This window comes from Homo sapiens, chromosome 5 (genome assembly GCF_000001405.40).
Source record: "Homo sapiens chromosome 5, GRCh38.p14 Primary Assembly".
Taxonomy (NCBI): Eukaryota; Metazoa; Chordata; class Mammalia; order Primates; family Hominidae; genus Homo; species Homo sapiens.
Window position 1 is genome coordinate 154,738,958 of NC_000005.10, and position 21,877 is coordinate 154,760,834.

A 21,877-nucleotide genomic window follows, 5' to 3' on the forward strand; every position below is an offset into this window, starting at 1 on the left:
AAAAATTTAAAATAAAAAATTGAGCTAAATTTACAACAATATACTGGACAGTTTTTGTTTGTTTGTTTGTTTGTTTGAGACAGAGTCTTGCTCTGTCACCCAGGCTGGAGTGCAGTGGTGCAATCTGTGTTCACTGCAACCTCTGCCTCCCGGGTTCAAGCAATTCTTCTGCCTCAACCTCCCAAGTAGCTGGGACTACAGGCACCCGCCAACACGCCCAGCTAATTTTTTGTATTTTTTTTTTAGTAGAGACGGGGTTTCACCGTGTTAGCCAGGATGGTCTCGATCTCCTGACCTCGTGATCCGCCCACCTCGGCCTCCCAAAGTGCTGGGATTACAGGCGTGAGCCACCTCACCCGGCCCTAAAAGAAGATTCTAAAGGGATTTGCTTCAAATTCACAGCAAGTACCAAAAGCACATGATCTGCCAAGTAGGTTGAGTTTAGCTATTTTTGTTGTGTGGAAGCTGACTTGCCTTGCTAAAAGCGGTAAGGGCTTCTCCAACAAAATGAGATTAATTCCTCACATTTATGTAGTATTTTTCACTTTTCAAAGCCTTCTTTTCTTGTCCATCACTCATTTGATCTACTCATTGGTTCTATGAAGACATTAAATTTTTTTTTGTAGACACAGGGTCTTGCTATGTTGACCAGGCTGATCTCACACTCCTGGCCTCAAGTAATCCTCCTACCTCAGCCTCTCAAAATGCTGGAATTACAGGCGTGAGCCACCATACCCAGCTACGTTGGCTGAATGACAGGAAGCAGGACAGGAAATATTCTTTCTCTTTATTCAGATGAGGATTCTAAGACTCGGAAAGACAAAGTGAATGTTCTCACAGTCAACAGTGAGCCACCCCTCTGAATTTCCAGCCCTGAGTTTGGGCTGGGATCCACTGTCTCCTTCGCAAACAAACCATTCCAGAGAACCTGAGTCTAAGAGGTTTTAAAACCACTAGCAAGCAAGGTGTGGTGGCTCATGCCTGTAATCCCAGCACTTCAGGAGGCTGAGGCAGGAGGATAGCCTGAGGCCAGGAGTTGGAGACCAGACCAGGCAACATAGTGAGACCTTGTCTCTAAAAATGCCAAGCCCGCCCTGGTCCCAAGAAAAAACACACCACACACACAAACATTAAAAAAAAAAAAAAAAAAATAGCTGGGCGCGGTGGCTCATGCCTGTAATCCCAGCACCTTGGGAGGCCGAGGCGGGTGGATCACCTGAGGTCAGGGGTTCGAGACCAGCCTGACCAACACAGAGGAACCCCATCTCTACTAAAAAAATACAAAATTAGCCAGGCGTGGTGGCACATGCGTGTAATCCCAGCTACTGGGGAGGCTGAGGCAGGAGAATCGCTTGAATCTGGGAGGCGGAGGTTGCGATGAGCCGAAATCGTGCCATTGCACTCCAGCCTGGGCAACAAGAGTGAAACTCTGTCTCAAAAAAAAAAAAAAAAAAAAGATTAAATTACCACCACCAACACTCAGTAGGTGGCAGTTAACAGTAATCTACATTTATTGCTCTCCCATTATCAATTAACAGTTTGTAATTCTCCCAACAGCCTAATGAGGATTCTCCCTGTTTTACACTAGAGGAAGCAGAGACACAGAGAGGTTTTATGGCTTGCTCAAGCTCACACAGCAAGTCCGCTGCAGAGCTGGAATTCCACCCAGGCAGCCTGGCCGGAAGCCCAGGCCTTTCACCCCTATGCTACACTGCCTTGTGTTACACCATACTGCTGATTAAAGAACTTTCTAAACAAAGCCATTCATTGGTGAGATGAGCAGCTCTGAAAGGCACTGAGGGCCCCTATTCTGAGCACTTCAAGTGGAATCATGGTGGAGGCATCTTTGGAAGACAGTTAGGTTTAAGGCAAAGGACTGGGCCAAGCATCCCTTTTAATCCAGAAATGAGGGGATTTGATGAAATCTCTTGCAGATTCTAGCCTTTCAGGTCAGGACAGTGACAAGTCCTCCTTGCCCCTGGGCTTCCAGATTGAAAATGTTTTCCCAGCCTGCCCACCATCCTCTCCTCAGGGGCACTGGGATCAAGTGAGCTGGGAGAACAGGTGGCTGTGCATGGATCATCCTGGAAATCTGACAGCATGGTCCCCAGTCCAGGGACTGGGGAAGAGGAACAGCAGAACACTAAATTACAGGGTGTTTGTTGCTTGATTAAATCAGTGCACTCAGTGCAGCGCGGTGGAGATGCAACACGCCAGGCTCACTCCTGGGCTTGAGGCCCAGATGTTAATCATAGAGCTGCAGTCAGAACGCCAAGGGCTCTCAGTAACACCTCTTTTAAATGCTTCATTTCACTCATAGGCCTACAGAAGCCCAGAGAGGGGAAGCAGCTTGTCAGAGGCCACGCAGCATTCTTTCAACACATACTGAGTGCCTACTGAGGGATACTAAAGGTGAATAAAATAGCCACGTGCTCCAGGGTCATGGAGCTTGCACGTTAGTGGAGGCAATGGGCAAAAAGCAGATAAACACACAAAATCAGAGGTTGTGATCTGTGCTATGGAGAACATGGAGTATTTCAACCAGGCTGATCAAGGGTGGTCCCTCTGAGAAGGGGCCATTTAAGCTGAGGCTTGAAGGATGCAAAGTATCGGGTGTTTGTGTGTGGGTGGGGGGAGTGGGAATGCAGTGGGAACACCATGCCCTAGGGGCCCGCAGGCTGGGATGAGTTTCCGTGTGTTTCTGGGGCTGGCACAGAGCAAGGCCAGGTGCAAGAAACGGGGGGAAAATCTGGAGGTAAATGGGTTCTGGAGCATAGAGGGTATGTGGGCCAAAGTGAGAGGTCTAGAGTTTATTCTTGTAATAGGCAGTTATGGAGGGTTGTTTGTTTGTTTGTTTTTAAGAGAGTGGCAGACATACTGTAACATTTCCTGCTTTTCCTAAATGAGGGACTCCTGGGAGGTTTACAAAAAACACACCAGGCAATGATACCTATGCAAAATGAGCCCAGCCCAGCTTTTCCTTGTCTTTATCTGGAGTCTCTGTGTATTTTATTCACATTAGGTAATTAGGCCATTCATGTTCCTTCTAATGAACCTAGAGATATGTCTCAAATAGACCTAAAGATCCAAGTACTGTGGAAATTGGCCAACCTCTCTGATCCATGCCTGTTGTTGGGACAGGCAGTTAGGCAGCCCCATCAACTTGCCACAGCTTTTCTGCACTTCACTCCTGTGATCATCCTTTTTTCCATAGAGGTAGGAAACGTTAGAAACTATCAAGATTGCTAGAATTGGGGCCTGGGCACAAGACAAGGCTGGGCAACATGACGAAACCCTTTCTCTACAAAAAATACAAAAAAGTGGCTGGGCATGGTGGCTCACACCTGTAATCCCAGCACATTGGGAGGCCAAGGCAGGTGGATCACTTGAGGCCAGGGGTTCGAGACCAGCCTGGCCAACATGGCGAAACCCCATCTCTATTAAAAATAAAATTAGTCAGGCATGGTGGCACATGCCTGTAATCCCAGGTATTCAGGAGGCTGAGGCATGAAAATCTCTTGAACCTGGGAGGCGGAGGTTGCAGTGAGCCATGATCATGCCACTGCACTGTTGTTGGAACAGAGGAAGACCCTGTCTCAAAAAAAATGTATATATACAAAAAATTAGCTGGGTGAGGTGCCTTGCACCTGTAGTTCCAGCTATTCGGGAGTCTGAGGTGAGATAATTGCTTGAGTCAAGGAAGTTGAGGCTACAGTGAGCCATGATCATGCCACTGTACTCCAGCCTGGGCAACAGAGTCAGACCCTGTCTCAAAAAAAAAAAAAAAGAAAAAAGAAAAAAGAAAAAAATAGTTTCTAGGATGGGAAGAAACTTCCAGAATATTAGGCTTTTTCAGAAATAGGAAAATTGAGGTCCCAACAAGAAAAGGAACTTTTCTTGGTCTCCTAGGAAGTAGCAATAGAGCCAGAACTGGAAAGCAGCCCTTTTCCTACATCTCACAGCCTGCTACTGCCCCAGCAGAAAGGGAAGCAGTGTGACAAACCTGAGCCAATGTTTCTTGTTCCACGTCACATGAGTTTGGGGAATGCTGCAAATCATTACACCTTTCTTAGAGATTGACTATGAATGTTAAAGTCTTGGAGATGACCTACAGCCAAACACTCATTTAACATTGCTTAACCCAATATTTCCCAAAATGATTTGATGATGGACTACATCTTGGTGTATATTAATTCATATTCTGGGAAACACTCCTTGAGAAGTCCCACCCTTAGCAAAAAAATCCGCTATCCACAGCCCCTGGTTCATAATGGTGTAATAAATGCTAGCTATTGTCATTATCATTATTACTTTTATTATTAACCGCAAGGGCTATAGTTTATTATTCTTATTTATTTATTTTTTTTTGAAATGGAATTTCGCTCTTGTTGCCCAGGCTGGAGTGCAGTGTCGTGATCTCGGCTCACTGCAACCTCTGTCTCCCGGGTTCAAGCGATTCTCCTGCCTCAGCCTCCCGAGTAGCTGGGATTACAGGTGCCCGCCACCATGCCCAGCTAATTTTTGTATTTTTAGTAGAGATGGGGTTTCACCAGATTGTCCAGGCTGGTCTCGAACTCCTGACCTCAGGTGATCCACCCGCCTTGGCCTCCCAAAGTGCTGGGATTACAAGAGTGAGCCACTGCTTCTGGCCTATAGTTTGTTTGTTTGTTTGTTTGTTTAGAGACAGAGTCTCGCTCTGTTGCCCAGGCTGGAGTATAGTGGCACGATCTGGACTTACTGCAACCTCTGCCTCCCGAGTTCAAGCGATTCTCCTGCCTCAGCCTTTCAAGTAGTTGGGATTACAGGCACCCGCCATGACACTCAGTTAATATTTGTATTTTTAATAGAGATGGGGTTTCACCATGTTGGCCAGGCTGGTCTCCAACTCCCCACCTCAAGTGAATCGCCTGCCTTGGCCTCCCAAAGTGCTGGGATTACAAGCGTGGGCCACCACACCCGGCCAGGGCTATAGTGTATACTTTGGCTCAAGTGATTTCCGCTTTCTCCAAGTGCCTTGCACAGTGCTGAGTCCTCAGAGATGATGGCACAGACCAATTAATCAACAAACTATGACAGTTTGTATTGACTCTGGATCTCCTGGGTCACATGACCGCAACCGAGATAAAGGGCAGCTCATTCATTTTCTGTCCTCTACCAAAGGAAAGGCCTGGGGGAAGCCTTGGCAGGGGAGGATCATAAACATATGCGAAGGTCACCAAATGCTAAAACAATCTGCCCTATCTCCTGCCCTCCTTTTTAATCTCAGCAAATCCTACTTCCCAGTTTTAAGTCCTAATTGAAGTCCAGGTACCTCCAGGAAGGCTTCCCTGACTACCTCATTCCTCCCACTCTCACCTATGACACTCTCTGCCTCTCCTTTAGTCTCCTGAACTTGTCTGTACCATATATTAATGACTGGTATGGCATTAGTTTGTGCAGGTATCTAAATGAGAGTAGTGTGCTGGGAGTAACACCAGGGGAGGGATGGGGCCTGAGGCTCACTAGTATTTGCTGGGCTCATCTAATCACATTTAAATTCAATTTAAAAAATACTGTGTGGACCAAACAAAATGTGTCTGTGGGCTGAAATTGGCCAGAGGACTGACAGGTTGCAACAGCTGGAATATTATCTGCAGGGGAAAGGGCATTGGATATGCAATTTTTTTTTTTTTTTTTTTTTTTTTTTTTTTTTTTTTTTGAGACGGAGTCTCGCTCTGTCGCCCAGGCTGGAGTGCAGTGGCGGGATCTCGGCTCACTGCAAGCTCCGCCTCCCGGGTTCACGCCATTCTCCTGCCTCAGCCTCCCAAGTAGCTGGGACTACAGGCGCCCGCCACTACGCCCGGCTAATTTTTTGTATTTTTAGTAGAGACGGGGTTTCACCGTTTTAGCCGGGATGGTCTCGATCTCCTGACCTCGTGATCCGCCCGCCTCGGCCTCCCAAAGTGCTGGGATTACAGGCGTGAGCCACCGCGCCCGGCCGCTTTTTTTGAGATGGAGTCTCGCTCTGTCACCAGACTGGAGTCCAGTGGCACCATCTCTGCTCACTGCAACTTCCACCTCCCGGGTTGAAGCGATCTTCCTGCCTCAGCCTCCCGCATAGCTGGGACTACAGGTGGCATGCCACCACACCCAGCTAATTTCTGTATTTTTAATGGAGACATGGTTTCACCATGTTAGCCAGGATGGTCTCGATCTCTTGACCTCGTGATCCGCCCGCCTCGGCCTCCCAAAGTGCTGGGATTACAGATGTGAGCCACCGCGCCTGGCCTTTTGGATATGCAATCTTTAGAAGCCCTGGAGTTTCCACCAACTAGCAGTGTGACTTCAGATAAAACACCTCATCTTTCTGAGCCTCAGTGTCCTCATCTTTAAAATGAGGTGACACTTGTTCCACCTTCTTTGTGGGATTTGAAGAATGCTTCTCCTAACTCTATGCCAGTGACCACTACCCCCTTTATGATAATAGCAAACATTTATTCAGTACTCACTGTATATCAAGCACTGTTCTAAGTACTTTGGGTGTATTAATTCAATCCCTACAATAATCCTCAGGGGTAGGTGCTATTATCATCCCCATTTTACACACAAGAAAACTGAGGCAGAGAGACACAGAGGAATTTGCCCAAGGTTACAGAGCTGGTAGGTGGCAGAGCTGAGACTATCGAACACTTTCACAAATATTGGCTCATTTAATCCTCTCAAAGACATAATGAATTTTACCCAGCCATTCCCTTTCTGACATTTTACAGATGGAGACACTGAAACTCAGAGAAAGAAAGTGACTTGCCTGAGGTCACGCAGCTAGGAAGTGGGCAAAGCTGGGCCTAAACCCAACTGTTTTTTTTTTTTTTTTTCTTGAGACGAAGTCTCACTCTGTTGCCAGGCTGGAGTGCAATGGTGCGATTTCAGATCACTGCAACCTCCGAATCCCTGGTTCAAGCGATTCTCTTGCCTTAGCCTTCCGAGTACCTGGGATTACAGGTACGCGCCACCACGCCCAGTTAACTTTTGTATTTTTAGTAGAGACAGGGTTTCACCATGTTGGCCGGCCAGGATAGTCTCAATCTCCTGACCTCGTGATCTACCCGCCTTGGACTCCCAGAGTGCCTGGATTACAGGCGTGAGCCACCGCACCTGGCCTAAACCCAACTCTTTTGACATCAAACCCTTTCCCCTTTTTTCTGTGCCATGTGTGAAGGACAGGCAAATGGTCTGAGAAGAGAACAATGTGCTAGTGTAGGGAGTTTTGTTCCCAGCGGGAGGGACCATGTCTTGTCCCTTATTGTTTCCACACTAGTCTCTAGGGCTGGGCCCTTCTGTCTTGGAGCTTGGCTCCTGTGTTTGACTGAGCGACGGTTCTTTTGGCCAGTCTCACCGTGTGACTAGTTATGGTCATGTTGCCAAGAAATTTCCTTTTGCCCCAATTTTGCCTTCTGATTTCCACTCGTCTCCATGAATTTGGATGTTTCTTGACCATGGAATGCTTAAACATGGTTACCTGAGTTTGTCCAACTGTGTGGTTTTTGCATTTTCTATGAATACTATCTGTGTCTCTTGTGATGTGGTGTCACGATCTAGAATGGGAGGAGTGAGACCTGGGTTCTGATCTTGATTCTGCTGCCCTGGCACCCTGGAGCAAGTCACTTAACTTCTATAGGCCTCAGTTCTTCAGCTGCCAACCAAAGACAATCATGTCTATCCTCTCTCCATGAAAGCCCTTTGGAAAATGCAGGGTGATCCAAATAGAAAGTGGGTCACTGGCTGGGCACTGTGGCTCATGCCTGTAAGCCCAGCACTTTGGGAAGCCAAGGTATGAGAATTACTCAAGGCCAGGAGTTCAAGTCCAGCCTGGACAAAATAGAGTGTCTCTACTAAAAAACTGAAATTAAAAAATGGGCCAGATGCGGTGGCTCATACCTGTAATCCCAGCACTTTGGGAAGCTGTGGTGGGCAGACCACTTGAGGTCAGGAGGTTGAGACCAGCCTGACCAACATGGTGAAACTCCGTCTCTACTAAAAATACAAAAATTAGCCAGGCATTTGGGCACCTGTAATCTCAGCGGCTCGGGAGGCTGAGGCAGAGAATTGCTTGAACCCGGGAGGCGGAGGGTGCAGTGAGCCGAGATCGTGCCACTGCACTCCAGCCTGGGCGACAGGGCGAGACTCTGTCTCAAAACAAGCAAACAGAAAAACCAAACATTAGCCGGGTGAGGTGGCGGGCACCTGTAATCCCAGCTACTTGGGAGGCTAAAGCAGGAGAATCATTTGAACACGGGAGACGGAGGTTGCAGTGAGTTGACATGGTGCCATTGCACTCTAGCCTGGGTGACAGAGCAAGACTCTGTCCCAAAAAAAAAAAAAAAGAAAAAGAAAAAAGGCTGCTGTGGATCACCTGAGGTCAGGAGTTCGAGACCAGCCTGGCCAACATGGCGAAACCTCGTCTCTACTAAAAATACAAAAATTAGGCCAGGTGCGGTGGCTCATGCCTGTAGTAATCCCAGCACTTTGGGAGGCTGAGGCGGGTGGATCACCTGAGGTCGGGAGTTGGAGACCAGCCTGACCAACATGGCTAAACCCCATCTCTACTAAAAATATAAAATTAGCCGGATGTGGTGGCGGGCACCTGTAATTTGGGAGGCTGAGGCAGGAGAATCGCTTGAACCTGGGAGGCGGAGGTTGCGGCAGTGAGCCGAGATTGTGCCATTGCACTCCAGCCTGGGCAACAAAAGCGAAAATCCGTCTCAAAAAAAGCAAAAATTAGCCAGGCATGGTTACGCATGCCTGTAATCCCAGCTACTTGGGAGGCTGAGGCAGGAGAATCGCTTGAACCAGGGAGGCGGAGACTGCAGTGAGCCAAGATTGTGCCACTGCACTCCAGCCTGGGCGACAGAGTGAGACTCCATCTCAAAAAAAAAAAGACACAGTGTCTCCCTTTGTCACCCAGGTTGGAGTGCAATGGCATGATCAATAGCTCACTGCAACTTCAAACTCCTGGGCTCAAGCCATCCTTCTGTCTCAGTCTTGCCCTACAGGTATGCGGCACCACACCCAGCTAATTTCTTTTTTATTTTTCTTACAGACGGGGTCTTAGTATATTGGCCACGCTTGTCCTGAACTCCTGGCCTCAAGGGATTCTCCTTCCTTGGCCTCCCAAAGTGCTGTGATTATAGTTGTGAGCCACTGTGCTCAGCCTAAAAAAATTTTCCAGTTTGCTAAAGTTAGCCTATTTTATCATTTTCAAAAGATGTATATATAAATATAATTTAGCACTTGGCCTTTGACAGTGTTGCTCTGGTTGCCACAACATTGCTGCAATCAGAAGTGATCCTGTATTCACTCATTTATTCCTTTGTTCAGAAAAGACTGAGGGCTTGTTCTGTTTAAGTCACCATTGATAAGTACTCCAAGGAACACTAAGATGAATAAGGTATAATCCCTGCCTTATGGTTACTTATGAATAAGGCATTCTCATAAGTAACCATAACTGAGTAGAGAAAATGAAAAATATATGTTTTAGGAAAACTGCCACTAGGAGATAAGAGTTCAGAGAAATCTACTTTAACTATGGAGATTAAATAAGATTTTGTGAAGAAGTTGACATTTGGTGCTGAGCCTTGAAGGACAAGTAGAATTCAGGACAAGTGGAAGTGGAAAGGCATTATCGGTAATAATAAAAGTAATGAAAGGGAATATTACTTAGCATATACTCTGCTATACATGTCATTGTGCTATTATATACATCTCACTTAAGGCTCACTGAAGCTCTATGAGATAAGTAGAATTATCATCTCCAATTTACAGATGGGGAAACTGAGGCTTAGAGAGAAGTTAAATATTTTCCTAAAGTCACAAGATAGTTGAGCCAGGATTCACAGTCATGACCTCACTATTAATAGCTATGTTATATGAATGGAGGCAGGAAAACATGGGGCCCACAGGGGTTTACATGGGAAACTTCTGGGAAGTAGGGAACATGTCTGTTTTGCTCACTTTTCTATGTCTAGGGCCTAGCAGTATCTGGTGCATTGCAGATGCTCAATACATATTTACTGAGTTAAAGAAGTGATTGGTCCACTGTTGCTGGAGTGTAGGGTCTGTGCTGGAAGGCAGTAAGACAGGAAGGTTAGTTAGGGTCAGGCTGTGCTGGGTGTGAATGTGGAGATTCAAAGTAGAGGCAGGGCCTGAGTCCATCATAGAGCCAGAGAGCTGACACAGGCAAGTGTGGTAGACTGGATCACAGTGGGAGTACAGTTAGTGAGGAAGCCCATCACGGGACAACTTGGGAAGTACAAAACTCCAGGGAGGGTAGTGGGGATGGGAGAAGAGGCTGCATAGGTAGAACTGATGAGAAGAGGCTGGGATGGTGCTTGTTTCCGACTCAGAGGGGTGAGTGTGTTAAAAGTTATTTATCAGACCTTCTTCACTGCAAACCGTCCTCCTCCTTGACCACCCCTCTTCCTCTGAGCCTCCTTTCTCATCTGTAAAGTGGGGATAGTCATGGAAAAGGATCGGCCTGGGGGTTAAACGAGGAATTGTGGAAACAGTCAGTCCCCACCCCACCTCCTCCTTGTATGTTAGCTATTGCCATTTACATCTCCTTCACAGGAGGAGATCCTGGCTGAGCCTCTTCCCAAGAACTGAAATAATTACGTGACATGTGCCAGAAGGCCCAAGAGTCTTCAGGGTCTTGAAAAACACTCCTCAGCTGGCACTGTTTTTTTTGGCCAAGGCCCCTCCCTTTGCTAACCCCACTCACTTTGTGTCAGTATAAGAGTCTTCATACCCAAGGGGCCCCATAGCAGAAGTAAGTGATTAGTGCAAGCTCTTCCAGGAACACAAGGCTCTTTGGAAAACCCAATCCAAGGAGGAATAAAACTAGCACATATCCAGGCATATTAAATTTTCCTTCATAATAAGCACAGATAACTCAAGGAACCATTCCTCCTTCCTTTACCTATTCACTGCTCCCCCTCCAATAGAATAAAATTTCATGTAAACTTTGTATTTTCTTCCTGCCTGTAAGCCAGATGGGCAGGTATGCTTCCTGTTTCATGGATGGAAGGCTCAGGAGGCTGCCCAAAGTCATTCAGCAAACTCGGAGATGGGACCCAGGTTATAAACCAATTCTCCCAGCTCTCTAGTCTCTCATGCAGCCTGCTGTGTCTCTCTTTAGGAAGTTGTCAGCACAAGGAGCAAACAAGCACATAATTAATTACAAATAGGTTTTTGTTTTGTTTTGTTTTGTTTTTGAGACGGGGTCTCACTCTATTCCCCAGGCTGGGGTGCAGTGGTGCAATCATGGCTCACTGCAGTCTCAACTTCCCACTCTCAGGTGAGGGTCTCACTCTGTTCCCCAGGCTGGGGTGCAGTGGTGCAATCATGGCTCACTGCAGTCTCAACTTCCCACTCTCAGGTGATCTTCCCACCTCAACCTCCCCAGCAGCTGGGACTACAGGTGTGTGCCACCATGCCCGGATAATGCTTTGTATTATTTTGTAGAGATGGTGTTTTGTCATGTTGCCCAGACTGATCTTGAACTCCTGGGCTCAAGAGGTCCACATGCCTCGGCCTCCCAAAGTGTTGGGATTACAGGTGTGAGCCACCATGCCCAGCCCAAATAGGTATTTGGACCCATTTTATTAATTTGGTGAGTTTTATTTTTTGAGACAAGGTCTCGTCTCACTTTGTTGCCCAGGCTAGGGTGCAGTGATGCAATCACAGCTCACTGCAGCCTCCACCTCCCAGGCTCAAGCAATCCTTCCACCTCAGCCTCCTGAGTAGCTGGGACTACAGGAATGTGCCACCACACCTGGCTAATTTATTTATTTATTTATTTGTAGAGACAGGGTCTCACTGTGTTGCCCAGGTGGGTCTCAAATTCCCGGGCTCAAGCAATTCTCCCACCTTGGCCTCCCAAAGTGCCGGGATTACAGGTGTGAGCCATAGCACCTGGCCTAGTGTTTAAGCACATGATGTGTTTAAACTCTAGGCACAAGTTAGCCTGATCCTTGTCACTTTCTGCCTAAAGCATATTTTGTCTCTTTTTTTGGCCTCTCTTTTTTTTTGGCCACAGGTTAAATATTGCTCAATTATTTGGTTCCTCTAATTAGAGTTTACCCTTTAGAAAGATAGGATTCAACTTGTTTGGTATCTTCCTGAGGCCTAAGTATTTGAGGGATTCTCCATAAATACTTATGGATATGGCAATGGAGGGAAGAGAAGTAGGCTGTACAGAGTGGTGCAGTGAGTAAGAATAAGGCCTGGCGATATAGAACACCCTGAAAAACCCCACTCTGATAGTTAGCTGCTGCCTATGATGCTGAGTACCCACCTTACTTTCTTTTCTGAATTTCAATTGCCTTCCTTTGTAATTTGAAGACAATAACCATTCCAGGACCTAGCCTGTAGTGCCTGGCACATAGTAGGGGCTCAGTAGACATTTAAGGAAATAATAACTATCCCACTGGGTTATTATGAAGATTAAATGAGATAATGAATATCAAGTATTTCCCATAGAACCTAGCGTACACTAGTTACCCAATAAAAGTAGCTACTCCTGACTATTTGGTCATTACTCCTGACTATTTGGTCATTACTAAATGGTCATTACTGACTATTTGGTCATTACTAGTCCCCTCTTATCTGTGGTTTTGCTTCCTGATGTTTCAGTTACCTGTGGCCAACTGTGGTCAGAAAATATTACATACAATAAGATGTTTTGAGAGAGAAAGAGCACAGTCACATAAATTTTATTACTGTCTATGGTTATAATTGTTCTATTTTATTATTTATTGTTGTTTATCTCTTACTGTGCCTAATTTATATATTAAACTTTATTATAGGTAAGTATATATAGGAAAAACATAGTATATATAGAGTTTGGTACTATTTGGGGTTTCAGGCATGCACTGGGATAAGGGAGGATGACTGTATTTAGAAATATATGCATATAAAATACCATAGTTGGTTAGGAATCAAAAAAACCTGAATTCAAATCCCAATTCCATCATTTTTTTATTAAAACTTAAAAAAAATAGAGACAGGGTCTCACTGTGTTGTCCAGGCTGATCTCTAACTCCTAGGTTCAAGTGATCCTCCTGCTTTGGCCTTTCAAAGTGTTAGGATTACAGGTGTGAGTCACTATGCCCAGCCCCAGTTTCATTATTTTAATGTAGAAAAAACTACTGGATTTAGGATAAAGAGATTCAGGTATGAGACCTAGCTCTGTCTGGCTCTGCTGTGTGACTTTGGATAAGGAACTTTACTTTTCTTTTTCTTCCTTTTTCTTTTCTTTTCTTTTTTTGAGATGGAGTTTTGCTCTGTCACCTAGGATGGAGTGCAGTGGGGTGATCTCGGCTTACTGCAACCTCCGCCACCTGGGTTCAAGCAATTTTCATGCCTCAGCCTCCTGAGTAGCTTGGATTACAGGTGTGCGCCACCATGCCCAGCTAATTTTTGTATTTTTAGTACAGACAGTGTTTCGCCATGTTGGCCAGGCTGGTCTTGAACTCATGACCTCAGGTGATCTGCCTGCCTCAGCCTCCCAAAGTGCCGGGATTACAGGTTTGAGCCACTGTGCCCGGCCTTGGACTTCACTTTTCTGAACTTTGGTTTCTTCATCTGCAAAACAAGGAGAATGAGTAATCATTATGATTCCTTTTTCCAGTTCTAACAGCTTCTAAGCCTAAGATGTTGTCTCGGCCGGGCATGGTGGCTAACACTTGTAATCCCAGCACTTTGGGAAGCTGAGGTGGGCAGATCACCTGAGGTCAGGAGTTTGAGACTAGCCTGGCCATTATGGTGAAACCCCATCACTACTAAAAATACAAAAATTAGCTGGGCATGGTGGCGGGCGCCTGTAATTCCAGCTACTCAGGAGGCTGAGGCAGAAGAATTGCTTGAACCCGGGAGGCGGAGGTTGCAGTGAGCTGAGATCCCACCACTGCACTCCAGCCTGGGCGACAGAGTAAGAGTCAAAAAAAAAAAGATGTTGTTTCACACAGGTCTCTTACTTTCTCTGGCCCTAGTTTGTCTCTCTCTGGGGCAGAGCAGGCCCAGGGTAGGCAGATCTCAGTACCCCTCCACCCTCTACACAGCAGGGCCTGGCCATGCTTGTTCAACCCTGTTTCTGACTGCTGAGTAGCATGAACGAGTTTCTTGTCCACACAGTGCCCTCGTACCCTCACGAGTTCTCAGGGGTCAGGGGAGGGTACTTCTCTACCTCCAATTACAAAAAGAACAACTAACAATAATAATTATGTCCCCTATTAACAAAGTTTAGAGAGGGTCTAGAGTGAATAATCTCTTCAGGGATTACTTATCAATAAATTTGTAAAAATAAAGCTGTGCATGGTGGCACGTGCCAGTGGTCCTAGCTACTTCGAAGGCTGAGGTAGGAGGATGGCTTGAGCCCAGGAGTTTGAAGCTGCAGTGAGCCATGATCACAATGACTGCACTCCAGCCTGGGTGACAGACCTCATCTCTTCAAATAAATAAATAGTGCATTTCAGTGGCAATGTGCAATAATTTACCTTCTGATTAAGAGTACATGTAATGAACTTAGTAGATTCCTGGTTTAATTCATTGAGTAACATTACCTTCCTTGGTAGCTCTTTTGACGTACTGGCTTGTCTATAAAATTTACACAGCACCTTGACTAACATTGTCTCACTTGACCTTCACATGAGCTCAGAGGGTGGAAGCAAGTCAGGCATTATTTACCCCCATTTTTCCACCAGGAGAGGGGTCCAGGGAAGTGCGGCTAGCTGGCCAAGGCTTGGAGGCTGAATAACCCAAGAGTTGGAAGTAGACATGGCATTACCTGGCTATCCCTACCAGTACTTCTCCCCCATACTGGTTACAACAATCCTACAGCTCAGCTTTGCTGGCTGGGGCAGTTCCAAGAGGCTTTTCATTCAGTCTTCTCCTAGATCCAGCAGGTCGTGTGCTCTAATTCTTGTTTTGGAGATGGCCAACATTCCAGGCTGTTATGTTATGTGAGCACGTGGGATCACAGCCAGTCAGAAGCCAGGACTTCTCCAAGTGAAGTCATAAGCACCAAAGGGATCTTGCTAGACACGCAGATTTCTGGGTCCAGTCCCAGACCGAGCCTGATTCCTAATACTTTGGCATCTGCGTTCAAAGAAGTCTTCCCTTATCACCCAAACAAAAGTAGCCCATCTAGTCTAACTGATTACCACAGTTTAACTATTGTCTTCATAGATACTAGACAATAATTTATTACTTGTTTATTGTCTCTTTCCCCACCTTAGAATAAATTCCATGAGGATAGGGACTTTGTTAGCCTAGTTTATACCAAACCCGTTTCCTAGAACCCTGCAAGGCCCCCACAGTACGAGGTCAGTAAGTATTGAATCGAATGTACACTGAAGTTTGAAACTGCTGTCATACACTGCTCCTTCATTTTACAATAGAGAAACTGAGGCCCACGAAGCTGGAAGTCACTGCTGCAGAGATGGTAAGGGGGCAGGGCCAGGATAAAATCTCAGATCTCAGAAGTCCCAATCCAGGGACGGTTCAACTCCGCCCAAAGCAATTCTTTAGAAAAAAAACGACATCCACTTGAAAGAAAAGACATTTCCTGCCCATAAATACAAGGTTTCGCGGCGGGGAGAAGGGCCTGGCCTGGGTGAGGGCTTTAGTAATTCCGTTCCCACTTCCTAGGCGCCGGCTGCCCGCAAGGGCTAAAGACTCGCTTTCCAGGCCCGGAGTTGAACCCATCTCCGGGTAGTGTCGAGGCCAGGCCCAGCGGCGGCGAGGCGCGGAGCACAACCCACTGAGGTGCGGACGGCTCACCCAACCAAGGTCACCCGGGCGGGGACCGAAGGGGCCAGGCCCGCCGGGCACAGGGGAGGGGGCGGCGTTGGCGCGTCCTCGGGGCGGATGAGGGTCCTCCCTTCGGCCTCCTAGAAGTCAGGAATGACACTAATGGCTCCTTCCCCTGAATCTGACACCCAGCCTAAAGAGCACGAGCAGGCCCGGCAGGCCGCGTGGCCGGGTCCCATGTGCTCCACCTGAGGCCGCTCTCACGCGCTGGCCCTTTAAGATACCTCCCCTCCTCGCCCAGCCTTCTCTCCTATCCCCGTCAGCGCCCCCACCGACAACTCCCGAATTGCATCAGGCACGTGCTCGCCCCCGTCCGGTCTGAGCGTCCCTACCCCCAGCCCGGGAGGTGCTCTGAGGAATCGGAGACGAGGGGCGGGGCGAGGGGCAGGACCGCGTAGCCGTGCGCGCGCCGTCCCGCCGCCTCCTGCCCGCCCGTCGCCCAGGGCCCGGCCAGCGGCGCGCCCCCGCTGCGCCGTCCCCTCCCCTCGCCCGCCGCGTCGTGAGGCGCGCGCCCGCCCGCCGCCTGCCGCGGATCGCGTGGTCTGCTTGGCTCGCCGCGCCTCTCCCCCGTCCGTCCATATTGCTGCAGCCCCCGAGCCGGGAAGCCCGGGCCGCCCCGGGGGCGGGGGGGAGGGAGGGACGGGACTAGAAGCCTGCCGGGCTCGGGGTGGGGGCGTCTTGCGAGGAACGGGCGGGGGGGGACGCACGCCTAGGAGGCCTGGACTGCAGAGTGGGGGGCCTTCCTCCCCCCCCGCCCCGCTAGTGGGCCTCGGATTTACGGCGGCTGCATCTAACTGGGAGGGGGCCGCACCTCGCGTGAACCCCGACCCTTCTCTGCAGGGACTGGGGCCCAGCGCCCCGGAGGAAGGCGTCGCGGGCGCTCTGCTAGCCAAGTTCGAGGCGGGGGAGGCAGCCTCGGGCGCGCCCGGCTTCTCCGGGGGGGCGGGCGCGCAGATGGCCACTCAGGTGGAGCCGCTGCTGCCTGGGGGCGCCACGCTCTTGCAGGCCGAAGAGCACGGGGGGCTGGTGAGGAAGAAGCCGCCGCCGGCGCCCGAGGGCAAGGGCGAGCCCGGGCCAAACGACGTCCGCGGGGGGGAGCCGGACGGCAGCGCTCGGAGACCCCGGCCGCCCTGCGCCAAGCCGCACAAGGAGGGCACCGGGCAGCAGGAGCGCGAGAGCCCGCGGCCGCTGCAGCTGCCCGGCGCCGAAGGCCCGGCCATCAGCGACGGGGAGGAGGGCGGCGGCGAGCCAGGCGCTGGCGGAGGAGCTGCCGGAGCCGCGGGCGCGGGGCGCCGGGACTTCGTGGAAGCCCCCCCGCCCAAGGTGAACCCGTGGACTAAGAACGCATTGCCGCCGGTCCTGACCACCGTGAACGGACAGTCCCCCCCAGGTGGGTCTCCCTCCTTGCCCTCCTGGGTCCGGGGGCCTCTTCCGGGGACATGGGAGTCCCCTCCCCCAGCACCTCCAGGGCCCCGGGGTCTGCTACCGGTCATGGTGACTCGGGACTTTTTAAAATTGCCTCCTGGTTGATCCTGGTCGCCGCGCCCTCCCCCCCACCGTACACTCAGGGACCTGCCCCTGCCCGAGGGCCCGGCCTCCGGGAGGCTACGGCCACCGCCTGGGCCGCAGCGGTTAGTGGGCAACGGTGTGGTTCGGGCCTACCTCGTCGGCAGAGGGTGGGCGCTGGTTTCAGTGAAACGATCCCCACCGCATGCTGGTGTAAGAGACGGTTTCTGGTTTGAACCTTCCTCTGGAAGCCCCTCTTCCCACCCCGCCCGGCGCTCCCCGTTTTGGTAGCGTTGCGAGCGTCCCCATGTTGTAAATGTTTAATGAGCATATGTCACGGGCAACCCAGTGCCCGGCGCGGAGTACATGCTGGCCGCACGGATGCGGGGATTAAAAGTTAACAAGTTTTGTTCTCGGGGAGATGAAATTGGGCTTTAGAATCGCCATTTGGAGACGGGTTGAGGGGTCAGTTGTGGGGAGAAGAAACCCATCGTGTCATCGAATTCGGTGGTTTCCCTCCCCGATCCCGGGCACCTTCCGCCTTAAGAAGGAGCCCGATGGCGAGTGTGCTGGGGGAGCCAGTTAGGAGGTTGGCGGAAAATGTGAGGCGGGTGAGGGGCCTGCGGCGACTTGAGGGGCGTGTGGCGGCGGGGGAGGGAGTGGCCGGCCTGGGCGGGCGGGTGACAGTTGGGCGCCATGCGCCGCGCCGGCGGCCCGCGGGCCGCTCGGCCTCGGCGTTCGGTGCGGGCCGCGGCGCTGGGGGTGGCAGGAGGGTGCGGGCCCGCGGCGCGGCCCGAGTGTGCGTGTGCGCGGCGCGGGTGTGTGCGCGTCCCCCCTTCCCAGCATTCCTCTGCAGCCGGGACAACGTGGTGCCTCCCCGCGCGGGGAGCGGCATGTGACTGCCGACCGGCGCTCCGCGAGTCCTCCCTCTCCCTCCTCCGCGTTTTGGTCCTTTTGGACCGTGCCCCTTTCCGGGGGGAGGTAAGGGGTGCAGGAAATCCCAGCAGAGCCGTGTCAGCGTGGGGGGAGAGGCGGTGCAGAATATGGAGTCTGCTCTTGCATTGCCTTTGCCGAGAATAGATCGTCGGCTTGGGTGGGGGGGGCGCGCCCACTCTCCTCTCTCGGCCGGCGTATAGGGCGGGTCTCCATTCTTTGGTTTTGGGTCCGTTTGTGGTGGGTCGGTTTTAAAATTGTCTTGCAGTTGGAATGATGGCCTCTGGTCGTAGCCCTGGTGCTTTTAAAAAACTCACCTGCCGTAGCTGGTTGAGGCTAACTGGTTTAAACCATCAAAAATAAAGGGGGAGCTTAATGTCTTCACCGTCAAAGGAGTAGAAGCACTGCTAGTCCTAGGGAAGCCAGAATAGCCAGTCCTGAAAACAGCATGTTGCAATTTTTATTTCTTTTCAGGTTGCTTCATTTGGAGGAGGGGACATTTGGGGTTTACTAACAGTCCTTCATACTGTGTTCTCTTCCTTCCCCCCTGCTCCCCTTCCCCCCTGCTCCCCTTCCCCCCTGCTCCCCTTCCCCCCTGCTCCCCTTCCCCCCTGCTCCCCTTCCCCCCTCCTCCCCTTCCCCCTTCCTCCCCTTCCCCCCTCCTCCCCTTCCCCCCTTTCCCTTCCAGAGCCCTTTTATGCAAAAGACAGTGCTGAAACCTCCGTTTTCTTTCAGTCCCTCCTATCCACCCACAGAGTGAAGGAAAACAACTTTAAAACACTCTTTGGTCCTTCTCCCCTCTTTAAACTCAAAAGGGTATAATCATCCCCGGGAGAGAGCACTCCTTTTAAATGGGGCTACTCATCCTGGCTTGGCTAATGGTGAACCTACCTTGTGGGTTTTAAATCAACCGTGACATCAGGTGGTATTGGGTGCCTGAGCTGGCATTTTGTGTAAGTCCAGGAGCCCTTGATAGTGTGCGTCACTGGGGTTATTGATCGTGGGAAGAAGACAGCTTGGCTGGCATCTCACCTTTTCCTCTGAGTGGAGAAGCTGACTTGCTTTAAGTGCCCAAAGCAAAATTCTGAGTAAGGGTAGATTTGCTCTGTTATTGTTTTTTGGAATCTTAAGGCAAGAGAGTGTCTACTTGTTGGTTTAGAACCTTTGGAATAGGTTTTGACAGCCTAACTCAAGTTAATCCAGTAGCTTCTCTCTCTAAGCCTGTTGTTAGGGTTTGTGTGCATTTTGAGAGAGAATTCTATGATTGGGTTGTCAGTCTGGTAAGGCTAGATGATGACCCTTTCTCTGGAGCCTACGTGGATCTCTGAAGTGCTTTTCCAGCCCTGGTTTTATTTACAGCTTCGACAAATTTAAACGTGACACTAGTGGAGTGGCTGTGTGGTCTTGGGAATTTTTGTGTTCTGTGATGCACATGTTTTTGGGAGTCTACAGAAATGAGTACCTCATAAGCAAACTAAAAGCTTTCCAAAGCTTGCTGTAAATGCCTATTTTTAGCCTTACTTTTGGCTCAAATGTTGGTGTTTTAGTTCTTTAAGGGACACATGCAGTAACTAGTAATAAAATATGTTTCGTGATATCTCTACTTTCTTGTGGGGTTCTGTATTCTGGTTTAAGCGTCCAAGTCTTACATTTGTAGTTTTAAGTCTTGGGATTTGCATTTTGGTTTTTTAGATCTCCCTCCCTCCCCAGAGTATTTTTAAATGTTTAAAATTTTTGTCTTATCCTAGCCATACCCCTTTTAAGTATAAGATCCAAGACGTCTAAGTTAAGAGATGATACATAGCGAATATTCTGGGGTCAAACTGAGTGGGTTCAAATGCCACTGTACCACTTGTTAGCTGTGCTTCCTTGGGCAAGTTATTTAACCATTCTATGCCTCACCTTCTTAATTTGTGTAATAGGTATTTATGATTCACCTGCCTCATGGGGGTATTACCAGCATTCATTGTTATGATAAGTGTATTTAGCCCAGTGCCTGGCAGGTAGACATTGTTACTTACTCTGGGTCTTGGTGGGACTTTTCCCTGGGTCTCTGGTTTTCTCTACCTGTAATATGATGGGGTTGGTGAATGCAGATCTTTCCTTTTCTTGTGTTATATAAGTACTCCGTGAAATGTATGGGATCTGTCTCCTTAAAACTTGACTTTTGCTTATCCACAGACATGAAGGGCATGGATGGATAATTTAAAGGTTGCTGACTCTTAAGAATTAGCTATTTTTTGCTTTGGAATGTGGTGAGATGAATTTTAAAAAAATAAGTTTTAACTTTTTAGTTTGCCTTTTGTAAAGATTTTCTTTGGGGGGAGTTGCACGTGTGCTCTCAGGGATATGAGGAAAAGCCAGCCTAACTGGACTGAAAGTTTGCTGTGGCTGGTGCACATGTAGTGCCGTGAGACTTGAGAGTACAGATAGTCCCCAACTTATGATGGTTCAATTTATGATTTTTTGACTTTATGTTGTTGGGAAAGTGATACACATTTATTGGAAACTGTACTTCAGGTACCCATACAACCATGGTTTTTCACTTTCAGTACAGTATTCAATAAATTAATTACATGAGACATTAAACGCTTAAAATAGGCTTTATGTTAGATGCTATGGCCATCCGTAGGCTAATATAAGTGTTCTGAGTGCATTTAAGATAGGCTGGGCTAAGTTTGTTTGTTTGTTTGTTTGTTTGTTTGTTTGTTTTTTTGGAGACAGTCTGGCTCTGTCGCCCAGATTGGAGTGCAGTGGTGTGATCTCGGCCCACTGCAACCTCCACCTCCCGGGTTCAAGCGATTCTCCTGCCTCAGCCTTGAGAGTAGCTGGGATTACAGGCATGTGCCACCATGCCCGGCTAATTTTGTATTTTTAGTAGAACGGGGTTTCTCCATGTTGGTCAGGCTGGTCTCAAACTCCCGACCTCAGGTGATCCACCTGCCTTGGCCTCCCAAAGTTTTGGGTTGGGATTACAGGCGTGAGCCACCGCGCCCGGCCCTAGGAGCTACTTCTGATCCTGCTCATGACCAGCAATGTGGACACCGGCAAACGCTTTGCTTTCTCTGTGCCTGTTTCTTCGTCTGTAAAATCAGGGTATTAGACTAGGTCTAAATGTCTTAAAATTTTTCTAGTATCAAAAATTTTTTTCTAAAACTCCCTCCCCACAAAAGAAAGAAACCAAAGTAGAGCTTTATATATGTGTAGCTTTGTATTTGCGTTGTGATTAGGAATCCAAGCTCTCTGGAGGCTGGAGAAACTCTTCTGGCTTCAGGAGCCTAAGTCGATGGCTTGGGGGTGTATAATGGAGCAGCCAGACATTATGTGCCTTACAGTGTCTGAAAGCACACAGCACTGCCTGAAAATTTCCTCCACCAAATAAAAACTGAACCTAAATCTAACAGAACCATAGATCCAACTGCCAGTTTATAGGGAAATGGGGCTACAGGAACAGACTAATTAGCCATGAGGTAGGCAGTTATTCAGTTTCTAAATGTGAGAAATTCTACAAGACACACTATTTCCAATAAATAAATGGCATTTTTTAAAGGGAAGAACTGTTACAGATGAAGAAAGTTGAGACATCAGTCGT

The 21,877-nt window shown here is 48.9% G+C and overlaps 1 protein-coding gene and 1 long non-coding RNA gene across 19 annotated transcripts in view, besides 7 other annotated features; one reads left to right on the top strand and one right to left on the bottom strand.

Moving 5' to 3' along the window:
* The window catches only part of LARP1 (La ribonucleoprotein 1, translational regulator), a 134,627-nt gene that overhangs the window by 55,979 nt on the left and 56,771 nt on the right, over window positions 1-21,877 (top strand). For 4 of the 18 annotated variants that reach the window (NM_033551.3, XM_011537614.2, NM_001367718.1 and 1 more), the window contains exon 1: window positions 16,420-17,236. The exons of 8 other annotated variants lie outside the window; for them this stretch is intronic. In NM_033551.3, coding sequence (NP_291029.2) covers window positions 16,801-17,236 — 436 coding nt within the window. In that variant the 5' untranslated portion in view covers window positions 16,420-16,800. Of the gene's footprint in view, window positions 1-1,557; window positions 2,413-15,684; window positions 15,802-16,419; window positions 17,566-18,196; window positions 18,334-21,877 lie in introns of those variants that run through there. 6 more of the 18 variants (XM_047417041.1, XM_047417040.1, NM_001367714.1 and 3 more) reach the window with 5 other exon arrangements.
* Window positions 12,717-16,063, bottom strand: LOC112267936 (uncharacterized). The gene is made up of 2 exons (XR_002956231.2): window positions 14,822-16,063; window positions 12,717-13,620 (listed from the first exon to the last, which is right to left on the bottom strand). It is a non-coding gene; the product is annotated as an uncharacterized LOC112267936 (long non-coding RNA).
* Window positions 15,798-15,947: a silencer, noted in NCBI's record as "silent region_16547". NCBI's record gives its function as "represses an Ori minimal core promoter by ATAC-STARR-seq in GM12878 lymphoblastoid cells {active_cell/tissue: GM12878}" and the evidence as "EXISTENCE:reporter gene assay evidence [ECO:0000049][PMID:35858748]".
* Window positions 16,198-16,537: a silencer, noted in NCBI's record as "silent region_16548". NCBI's record gives its function as "represses an Ori minimal core promoter by ATAC-STARR-seq in GM12878 lymphoblastoid cells {active_cell/tissue: GM12878}" and the evidence as "EXISTENCE:reporter gene assay evidence [ECO:0000049][PMID:35858748]".
* Window positions 16,578-16,987: a silencer, noted in NCBI's record as "silent region_16549". NCBI's record gives its function as "represses an Ori minimal core promoter by ATAC-STARR-seq in GM12878 lymphoblastoid cells {active_cell/tissue: GM12878}" and the evidence as "EXISTENCE:reporter gene assay evidence [ECO:0000049][PMID:35858748]".
* Window positions 17,028-17,107: a silencer, noted in NCBI's record as "silent region_16550". NCBI's record gives its function as "represses an Ori minimal core promoter by ATAC-STARR-seq in GM12878 lymphoblastoid cells {active_cell/tissue: GM12878}" and the evidence as "EXISTENCE:reporter gene assay evidence [ECO:0000049][PMID:35858748]".
* Window positions 17,388-17,497: a silencer, noted in NCBI's record as "silent region_16551". NCBI's record gives its function as "represses an Ori minimal core promoter by ATAC-STARR-seq in GM12878 lymphoblastoid cells {active_cell/tissue: GM12878}" and the evidence as "EXISTENCE:reporter gene assay evidence [ECO:0000049][PMID:35858748]".
* Window positions 18,418-18,477: an enhancer, noted in NCBI's record as "active region_23482". NCBI's record gives its function as "activates an Ori minimal core promoter by ATAC-STARR-seq in GM12878 lymphoblastoid cells {active_cell/tissue: GM12878}" and the evidence as "EXISTENCE:reporter gene assay evidence [ECO:0000049][PMID:35858748]".
* Window positions 19,110-19,299: a silencer, noted in NCBI's record as "silent region_16552". NCBI's record gives its function as "represses an Ori minimal core promoter by ATAC-STARR-seq in GM12878 lymphoblastoid cells {active_cell/tissue: GM12878}" and the evidence as "EXISTENCE:reporter gene assay evidence [ECO:0000049][PMID:35858748]".